Here is a 10,424-nt window from a genome sequence, read left to right as displayed (position 1 = left end):
CAGCGGCGGGATCTCGGCTCACTGCAAGCTCCGCCTCCCGGGTTCACGCCATTCTCCTGCCTCAGCCTCCCGAGTAGCTGGGACTACAGGCGCCCGCCACTACGCCCGGCTAATTTTTTGTATTTTTAGTAGAGACGGGGTTTCACCGTTTTAGCCGGGATGGTCTCGATCTCCTGACCTCGTGATCCGCCCGCCTCGGCCTCCCAAAGTGCTGGGATTACAGGCGTGAGCCACCGCGCCCAGCCCAGAAGTCTGAATTTTTAACAAGCCCCAAAGGTTGTTGACGTGCGTTGTCAGAGGACTCACAAGAAATGGGCACGAAACAGGACTTCCCTTAATGCACCTGAAGATCACACCACTGTTTAGCGCGGACACATTTCACAGTTAAATGGCACTCATCTGAATATCTAAAATCTTTCATTTTTTTTTTCTTTTAACCTGTGCTGATGCTGTGGATTTCTTGGATTCCACAAGCAGATCCTTACACTGAATCCCCTTCAGACTCATCTCTTTAAATGTGGCCTATCCACCCAGCCTGACCAAATCTTTTTGGATCCCAATTTTATTATTCAGTGCATTTCCCACTCTTCTCAGCTTGGATGGTCTGCAAATTCTACCAGCCACATATCCACCCAAGTTCCTGATAAACATGTCGAAGGGGCCAGGACCAAAGCTGTGTAAGAAGCTCTCGCCACACCACCACAGGCAGGCCTCAAGGCCCAGCGCCTGAGGAGTCACAAAGCCTGCAACCTGAACTGCTTCACCCTCCAGGCCTGCATGGCAGAGGACGCTATGAAAGGCTTGCTGGAATCCAGCCACGGGAGCCTGGCCATTCTAGTGTCCTCCCTCAGCCCATCAGCCGGACACGGAGGCTACCTGGATCAGATGCTGAACTCCTTCATGGCTTACTGCATTTTGGATGGACAAACCCATCTTTTCTCAGTGCATGTCCAGAACTGTGGTATCAAGTTCACAGATAGGTAGAGCAGGTTTCTCTCCGTGCCCCTTCCTGAGACTCAGGCCTCCTTGGTGACTATGCTGCAGTTTGGCAATCTCTAGGCCAGGAGACCTATGTATGTATATACCTGTGACCCAGAAGATAGGGTGGAGGTAGGCAAGGAGTAGGCAAGGGGTGGAGAGTTGGGGAGAGGCGAGACTCGTGGGAATTTGGTTTTCCTTAAGGCTGGAGTTTGGAATAAGTGGTCAATGTAACTGGCCGTAAGCCTTGGAATGAAACTCCTCCTTTCCCACTGGCAGAAAGGGCTGAGCCGCCGCCTTGCACATCCCAGGCTGGAACTTGAGCCGCGCAGCTGGCTGTGTGCAAAGTGGGGAAAGAGGGGAAGAGGGGACTCTAACAAAAATGTTCTGGGCCTGGCTGGGAATGCTGAGCACAGAAATTTGATCGGGGACTGAAACAACTCCAAATGTTTCCCACATTTCTTGGAAATGGAGGCATTCTCACCAGAACCTGGGTTTTCTTTTGAATAACACTTCCCCCTAAACCTGTCCCCCACCCTGAGAGGGTGGGAGTTGGGACGGGAAGCAAGCATTTACCATGCCATCAGCGATCCTGGGCTGTTTGTCTCTGAAATTACCATCAGCCATTAGAAGGGAAAAGTGGGGAGGCTTTGCAGAAGAGGTGCAAGAACCACCCAGCAACCCCAACTCGCTCCGCTGGGCTGCTGAGGTCCAGAGATTTATGTTCCTCCCTCTGCCCTGGTTCTAAAGCTCCTCCTCTGAGTTCAAGCTGAGTGGAGCTGCCTCCTGCCCTCCAAGGGCAGCTGTCCTGCAGCTCGCCCCTCCCTTTCTCTAGCTGTCCACCCCTTTGGCCTCTGCTCCCTGACTCCTGCTCTTTCAGGGGCCATGGGAGAGAGAGGCCTGACCCCTGGATTTTCACTGCCACCTCTTAGCCATTAGCCTGGCGCCTGAGGCCCTCGTCACACCCCAGGCTATGCTTGGGGCTGGGAGCCCTTTGCTGCCCACGCCTGCCCCTCTCAGGAGCTGGAAGAAGCCGCTGCTATGATAGAAGTTTCCATCAGAAAAAGGAGAGGAAGTGAAGGTTGCAGAAGGAGGAGAAAACAAAAGCTGTGTCAGTCTTTGCCCATGTCCAGATCTGGAGCCGGACAATCGCCCCTCGGGGGCTCGGCTTTGAGCCACAGCTGTGTCTGCCCTGTGGAAGGAGGAGCAGCCTCCCCCCACCTCTGGTTTTCCATGAGGTGGAAATGGGGCACCTAAGGAGAGGCACGAGCAGTAACAGAACCCTCTTCATACATATTATGCCCCCCAAGAAAGCGCGGGGCCTGGGTTCAGGTCCACTTTGTCATGAGCTGACTCTAGGGGACAGGCCCCCACCCGGGCTTCTCTCTCTTGTGGATGTGGACTGTATGGGTACACAGGGTTGTGCCAGAGGTTCCAGATGCTGCAGGACAAGCATGGCTCATCCTGGAGAGCATCAGGTTTGCCAGACTGTAGGAAGAAAAGCACCATCATTTTTATATTGAAGTAGCCATGTGTATATTATGAAGGAAGATGCAAAACACATATCAATTTTTAAGAAAACACCACTTTTCCAACAAATCACACCATTGGAGCCCCTTGAAGCTACTCCCTCGGATGCTCACTCTCCACTCCCTTCAAATACACCAGCCCTCTGTGCCTCAGTTTCTTCGGCCAAGAAGTGGGGTAGTGTTAACCCCACGTATGAGGAAAGGCTGGTGGGGCTGGGTGGAGGTGGGGTGGGACGGAGCTGGGCGGAAGCAGGCCTTTCCTCCTCCTGGGCCTGCAGCTTGCAAACTCCAGTGCTGTGTCCCCAGAGGAAACCTTCATTGAATGGGTCACTGGGCTTCCCCCAGCTGAGCTGGGTGTGACGATCTCCAGCTCTTGGCCATGTGCCTGGTCACCCAGATCCCAGTGGCCTGGAGACTTCCTGCCTGAGCCTCTTTGGGCTGAGGCTCCCAGGGCAGGTGCAGTGTCTCCAACAGGGGACAGCCCTGAGGCAGGGCACAGGTATGTGGGCAGGGACTGGGCACCCCCAAGCACTCCTACCTGCTCCTTTCATTCACTGGCCCTGGAGAAGCTGGGAGAAGAGGGTTTGAGGGGAGGGAACAGGGCATTCCTTCTTCTGGAGGCTCAGAGCATCAGGAAGAAGGTTGTGAGCTGCCAACCTGCTGCTGAAGCTGGCCCGTACCTAAGTTAGCCTGGCCCACATCAGACTTTACAACTTGGAAATCCCACCCAAAAGGATGGATTTCTTTTCTTTATTTTTGACGGAGTCTGACTCTGTCACCCAGGCTGGAGTGCAGTGGCGCAATCTTGGCTCTTGCAACCTCCACCTCCCGGGTTCAAGCAATTCTCCTGCCTCAGCCTCCCGAGTAGCTGGGACTACAGATACACACCACCATGCCCGGCTAATTTTTGTATTTTTAGTAGAGATGGGGTTTCACCTTGTTGGCCAGGTTGGTCTTGCACTCCTGACCTCAGGTAATCCACCCACCTTGGCCTCCCAAAGTGCTGGGATTAGAAGGGTGATTCACCGTGCCCAGCCTGGAATTCGTATTTCTCTTGAAAAGCTCAGGCCTGACCATCTCGGCCCATATGGCACTCACAGGCCACAGTGTGCAGTGACTGTCCTGTCGACAGCAGGCTTTGCCACAGGCCCCACGGCCCCTAATGCCCCACGCAAGGCACACCTGTCCACTTCTCCCATGCCCATCACCTGCCGGTGGTTGTGGGCTGGAGTGTGTGGTCTCTGACGACATCTCCCGTGAGGAGAGACGTTTGGTCAGCTGGGGCATGACCCCCACAGCCCAGAGAATGCTCTTTGAAAGTCAGAGCCTTTCTGACCCTCAGGCATGGCTGGTGAGAGCTGGGTGGCGGGGGAAGGCCCCAGTGCCTCCTCTTCCCACTCCCATGGGGCACCGTCAGCCCTTCACATTGCCCTGGGCTTTGGAGGGACCTGGGGCTGCAGGCAGAGAGCCCTGAGGGAGCTACAGTTCTGTTGGGGCTGCTGGAAAGAAACATGTCCCATCCCTTGAGCCCCTGACCCTAGTGACTGGCATCCCCTACACTGCCCCAAGTGGGTGAGGTGTCAGCACTGACACCCGCCTCTGCAGATCTCCCAGGCAGTTTCCCTGAAGGCTGGGAGCTCCCAATTCCCAAACATCCCCAGGCTGTGGGTGGCCAGGGGGTGAGGCCAGGGCTCTTTGTGTCTCTGCCTTTTCCAGACACTGCCAACCTTGTCATTCATTCATCACATAATTGTTGGGTGCTTACTGTGTGCCAGCAAAGACGTGAGGCACCCCTTCTGACTGTGTGACCTCAGGCAAACCACAATCCTTGCACCTCAGCTCTCTTATCTGTAAAACTCGGATAAACTCGGATATGACAGTATCTGATTTAGGAGGTAGTTATGAGGATTACATGAGATGATGTATGTCTCCCAGGCTGGGCGTGGAGCCGGTACACAGCAAGCGCTCAATAAATGTTGTCCATGTCACAGGTACCATTACTAGTAAGAACGGGCCAGCTTCCTGCCCCTTTGGTGTCTCTCCTTCTCTGGCCTCCATTCTCGGCTTCTGTTCCTCTTCTCCCTCCCTGCTCTCCGCCAGAGGCCCTAAGTCTGCACCCTGAAGCGGGGCTGCGGCCTCCCTGGAGTCCCAGGCCCACGGGCGGCCCCCGCCGGCCCCCTCCAGGTGCACAGAGGCCCCATTCTCCAGGCGCGCGTCCCCTCGCCCGCTCCTGGGGGACCCTGCCCGGTGACCTCGCGACCCCGCCGTTTGCGCGGACAAAGAGGGGCCTTTTGTTCTCTGGCCAGGCCTGCCCGGCCCGCGCAGCTCCCGCCCTAATCCGGCTAATTACGGTCCACACGGCGACCGGGGCGCGCGCTCGCCCACCACTTTCCCACGGCCGCGAAGAAAGCCCCTCAGTGCGCGCCGGGAACAGAGCGGCGATTCAGCTGCGCCCTGCGCCGTGCTGCTGCCGTGGCCACCCTTCGCTGCGTCTTCTGCCGTTCCCTTGTCCTCTACCTCTGTCTGTCGGTCTCCGGGCCTTCCACCCGCCGGCTGTTTCTCTTTTGGTCTCCCTCTCTGTGTCTCCCCATCTTTCTCCCTCTCTGTGTTTTTATCTCTGTCTCTCCCCGGCGTTCTGTTATCTGTCTGTCCCATTCTCTCTGCCCCTCTGCCCCGAGGCCTTCTGCCTCTGTGTCTCTGTCCCCTGGGCCTCTCCCATGGCGGGGGTTCAGCCTGCCCCTCACTGGCTCCACGTGGGGTCCCAGCTTAAGCTGAGCATCAGCTTCCCCAGCCCAGCAGCCTCGGGCCTCCGTTCTCTCCCCGCTGGGGACCCCAGGGTCCTGGCCCCTTCTAAGGAAACCAAGGAAGCTCTGGGGCCGGGCCATGCCTCCTAAATGGTTTTGGGGAAAGCTCCAAAACAGAGAAGTGCCTCAAGATGTCCGGTGCTGGCCCAGGTGTTGGGGGAGGGGGCGGGGAGGGCTCCTGCAGCAGCTCCTGCTGGTGTGCTGTGGCCAGGTCAGAAACGGGAGCCACTCTGAAGTAATCTCAGCCTTGGGGACAGCCAAGGAGAGAGTCTGGTTTGTGCTTGACTAGTTCCAGACCAGCCACCATAGAGTCCAGACAACTGCTTTTCTAGAATTCACTGTGAATATGTGTCTAAAGGGTGCTGGACAGGCCACAGAATGGGTCTTTTTGGCAGAAGAAATTCATTCATTCATTCATTTTAGGGCCCAAGAAATTCATTCATTCATTCACTCATTCGCTCAGCAAGTATTTACAGAATGTTTACTATGTGCCAGAGATTGTTCTAAGCAGCAAGGAGAAAGCCATGAACAAAATGAAGATCGTTGTGCTGCATTCTAGCAGGGAAGGCACATGGGTGAAAGGTAAGAGAAGGAGATTGACAGACGGTGGGAACGGCTAAGAAAAAACGCAAAACCGGGTGGAGGTCGGCCGGCGTGGTGGCTCACGCCTGTAATCCCAGCAGTTTGGGAGGCCGAGGCAGGTGGATCACCTGAGGTCAGGAGTTTGAGACCAGCCTGGCCAACATGGTGAAACCCCATCTCTACTAAAAATGCAAAAATTAGCTGGGCGTGGTGTTGCACGCTTGTAATCCCAGCTACTTGGGAGGCTGAGGCAGGAGGATGGCTTGAACCTGGGAAGCGGAGGTTGCAGTGAGCCAAGATCATGCCACCGCACTCCAGCCTGGGCAATAGAGCGAGACTCTGTCTCAAAAAAGAAAAAAAAAAAAAAAAAGGAGGTGTCAGGAGCTGGAACGGGGTCAGAGGTGGCCTATCTGGGTTGGTGACACTGGAGCAAGACCTGAGTAATGTCAGGGTGTCCTCCCTCCAGGGCAGTGGCTGGGTCTGCAGGCAAGTTCCCACCAAAGCTGCCAGGTGGCTCTTCCTTCTGTCCTCAGGTCCCAGTCGCTGGGAGACGCCGAGACCCACTGAGGCCCGGTGGTGGCCCCCAGCTCACTGAGGGGCAATGGCCGGGAAGAGGTTGGCTGAAAGACTTGTGCTGCAGGAAAACTCCTCCTGTCCCTCATTTTGCTTCCCTTTTTCTCATCACTGTCAGGGGTTTTCTGACAATGATGACCTTTGAGCCACAAATAAACCACACAGCCACATGGGAGGGGTCCTGACCAGGGCCTGGTGGTCTGTGTCCCAGGGAGAAGTACAGCCCTCCTGTCTGCAGAGAAAGTGAGGACTTCTTTACATCAAGGTAATTGAGGGAGAAGGATTAGTGAGTTTTCTGAGCTCATAAATCACAAAACAACCCAGTGGTGTTGTGGGTGTCCAAATCAGGGGGGCAAGAAAGACAGAAAAGGGCAAAAAAAAAACCACAAACAAAAACACTCTGGTGGGGTCATGTTGGCTTTGGACAAAGCAAGAGAACCTGGGGCGTAGCCGAGGCGGGACTAAAGGAAACACCGTAAGACCCAGAGGTGCTGGGGCTGAGATTTAGGGCACTGAGGGAGTTTGAGAGCCAGCCAGCGGGCGCCATCACGAGTGTGTTGGGTATACGTGGTTTGTGTGTGGCATATGGGAGGATGGAGCAGGCCCGTGTGACCTTCCTCAACCTCTCCCGCCAGCTGGCTCCCCTGCCCTCAGTGCCCTACCTGGCAGAACCTGGTCCTGGCTGAACTACCACTGAGCTTATGTGACCCCTCATCCTGCCAAGCCAAGGTGGGGCTGGCCAGGTTTATGGGCCCAGACACCTTCACACCTGGACCTTTTCCCCTTGGGACTTTGAGAAGCAGACAAGTGCCACAATTCTGTGTGGGGCTAAAGGAAGAAATCCCCAGCTAGGTCCGGGAGACGGTGTGTTCCTCATGGCCCTGCCCCTCACTAACTGGGGGCCATAAGCGCACCATTTGCCCTCTCTGGGCCTCACTTTCCATACTTGGAGAATAGGAATGGTACTAATAATCGTCCCTCTTCACAGGGTTACAGTAAGGATAGATGAGACTGAGATGTAAAATGTATTCTGTCAGCCAGTGATCACATCTTGTTTGACCAATACATGTAAAATTTTGACCTATTACTCACACATATAATCGAAACAAAAGTTTATACTTATCTGTTATATTCTGTTGAATGCATTGATCTAGTCTATCCTGTTCTGTTTCTTTCTATTTTTTAAAAAATCACAGATCATAATGCACTGGGTCTTGAACTACAGTTTCAGAAACACTGTCATAAACCATGGAAGGGGATATAAAAGCATTTGTGGTTTCATCACCTAGAGAGCTTGCTGGAAGTGGGGCCTGGAGTAGCCTTGGGAGCTGCCACCCTAGGCACACCAATGGTGACCCCAGTGCCACTCATCACTGGCCTATGTGGGCCTGCTCCTCTGTGGTGGACTTGAACCTTACTGCTCCAGCCATCTCCCCTGCCTGCCTGTCAAGCCTCGCTGTTGACTGTAGTCATCTTCATGCCAAAGGCCAGACATAGCCTGCGAGACTTGGATGGGACCTCGAGGGTCATCTCATCTCTCACTTTATATAGGAGAAAACTGAGGCCCAGCCAAGGAAAGTGACTTATTCAAGGCTGCCCAGTGAATGGGTGGCAGAACCAGAACTAGAGTTCAGATGTCCCTCTGTCAGCCCAAGGCTTGTTTTCATTACGGCCTTGTTATCTGCCTGATTGCAAACCCAATCCCCCCTTCTCTCTATGTCTTGGGTTCGGGAACCACTCCTGGCCTGAGCAGAGCAGGAATAAAGCAGCAGGGCCAGTCTAAAGTCTGCACATACTAACCATGTGGCCAAAGGCAGGCCTGTTAATACTTCTAAGCCTCAGTCTCCTTCTCTATAGAGTGGGAATGATGTTTTCTGCTCTTCCTAACACACAGGGTTGCTTTGTAAATTAAATGAGATAATGTGCATCAAATAGGCTTTGAAAAACCTTTTAAATATGCTTAAAATGGAAGGGTTCTTGAGGGTTGGGGTATGGTTGAATAGGTGAAGCACAGGGGTTTTCTTAGGTGGGTGAAATTATTCTGTATGATATTGCAGGTAGATACCTGACACTATGTACTTGTCAAGACCTGTAGAAATGTATAGCACAAAGAGTACATTTTTACACAAAATAAAAGAATCATTTAGGAGATCAGAGGATACGAAGATGGAATGCAAAATGTGACAAAACTATTTAACTGGATTAAAAACATGTAAAACAACTTCACTGAAGTGGGGGAGGGGTGGGAGTTTTTGATCTAAGCAACTTTGGAAATGAGTGGAGTCTATAAGACTAAAGACTAAAGAAACTGTGCCTAAGCACTATACTCTAGTTGATAAAGTAGCTTCTCATGGAGTGTGGTTAACAATTCCAGTACCACTATACATGTGTATTGGAACTGAATGAGTAAGTCAATGGATAGTGGATGGTAACAGACAGGTTTCTCACTGTGGGAGTGGAAGGTTACAGACAGGCAAGGGGAGAAGGCTAGAATGATCCTTGTGATAATTTATTAGAGTTGTAATATTAGTATGAAATCAAGTTTAGATTGCACTCCATCCAGGGCAACAAGAGCGGAACTCCGTCTCAAAAAAAAAAAGGTACCTCTCCCTCTCCCTCCCCCTCCCCCTCCCCCTCTCCCTCTCCCTACGGTCTCCCTCTCCCTCTTTCCACGGTCTCCCTCTGATGCCGAGCCAAAGCTGGACTGTACTGCTGCCATCTCGGCTCACTGCAACCTCCCTGCCTGATTCTCCTGCCTCAGCCTGCTGAGTGCCTGCGATTGCAGGCGCGCGCCGCCACGCCTGACTGGTTTTCGTATTTTTTTGGTGGAGACGGGGTTTCGCTGTGTTGGCTAGGCTGGTCTCCAGCTCCTAACCGCGAGTGATCCGCCAGCCTCGGCCTCCGGAGGTGCCGGGATTGCAGACGGTGTCTGGTTCACTCAGTGCTCAATGGTGCCCAGGCTGGAGTGCAGTGGCGTGATCTCGGCTCGCTACAACCTCCACCTCCCAGCCGCCTGCCTTGGCCTCCCAAAGTGCCCAGAGTGCAGCCTCTGCCCACCCCGTCTAGGAAGTGAGGAGCGTCTCTGCCTGGCCGCCCATCGTCTGGGATGTGAGGAGCCCCTCTGCCTGGCTGCCCAGTCTGGAAAGTGAGGAGCGTCTCTGCCCCGCCGCCATCCCACCTAGGAAGTGAGGAGTGCCTCTTCCTGGCCGCCATCCCATCTAGGAAGTGAGGAGCGTCTCTGCCCGGCCGCCCATCGTCTGAGATGTGGGGAGCGCCTTTGCCCCGCCGCCCCGTCTGGGATGTGAGGAGCGCCTCTGCCCGGCCGCGACCCCGTCTGGGAGGTGAGGAGCGTCTCTGCCCAGCTGCCTCGTCTGAGAAGGGAGGAGACCCTCCGCCCGGCAGCCGCCCCATCTGAGAAGTGAGGAGCCCCTCCGCCCGGCAGCCGCCCCGTCCGGGAGGGAGGTGGGGGTCAGCCCCCGCCAGGCCAGCCGCCCCGTCTGGGAGGGAGGTGGGGGGGTCAGCCCCCCGCCCGGCCAGCCACCCCGTCCGGGAGGTGAGGGGCGCCTCTGCCCGGCCGCCCCTACTGGGAAGTGAGGAGCCCCTCTGCCCGGCCACCACCCCGTCTGGGAGGTGTGCCCAACAGCCCATTGAGAACGGGCCATGATGACAATGGTGGTTTTGTGGAATAGAAAGCGGGGAAAGGTGGGGAAAAGATTGAGAAATCGGATGGTTGCCGTGTCTGTGTGGAAAGGAGTAGACATGGGAGACTTTTCATTTTGTTCTGTACTAAGAAAAATTCTTCTGCCTTGGGATCCTGTTGATCTGTGACCTTACCCCCAACCCTGTGCTCTCTGAAACATGTGCTGTGTCCACTCAGAGTTAAATGGATTAAGGGCGGTGCAAGATGTGCTTTGTTAAACAGATGCTTGAAGGCAGCATGCTCGTTAAGAGTCATCAC

At 54.6% G+C, this 10,424-nt stretch overlaps 1 protein-coding gene across 2 annotated transcripts in view; it reads left to right on the top strand.

The window, feature by feature from the left end:
* The window catches only part of LOC107985876 (uncharacterized), a 38,401-nt gene extending 29,312 nt beyond the window's left edge, over positions 1-9,089 (top strand). The window contains exons 1-2 of one of the 2 annotated variants that reach the window (XM_017005460.2): positions 3,479-5,893; positions 6,585-9,089. In XM_017005460.2, the coding sequence (XP_016860949.1) occupies positions 4,481-5,401 (921 nt within the window). In that variant the 5' untranslated portion in view covers positions 3,479-4,480 and the 3' untranslated portion in view covers positions 5,402-5,893; positions 6,585-9,089. Of the gene's footprint in view, positions 1-573 lie in introns of those variants that run through there. The other variant, XM_047446566.1, reaches the window with a different exon arrangement.
* Positions 9,090-10,424: the final 1,335 nt, after the last annotated feature.

The sequence above is a fragment of the Homo sapiens genome, chromosome 2 (genome assembly GCF_000001405.40).
Source record: "Homo sapiens chromosome 2, GRCh38.p14 Primary Assembly".
NCBI classification, from domain to species: domain Eukaryota; kingdom Metazoa; phylum Chordata; class Mammalia; order Primates; family Hominidae; genus Homo; species Homo sapiens.
This window is presented reverse-complemented; position numbering and strand designations above follow the sequence as displayed.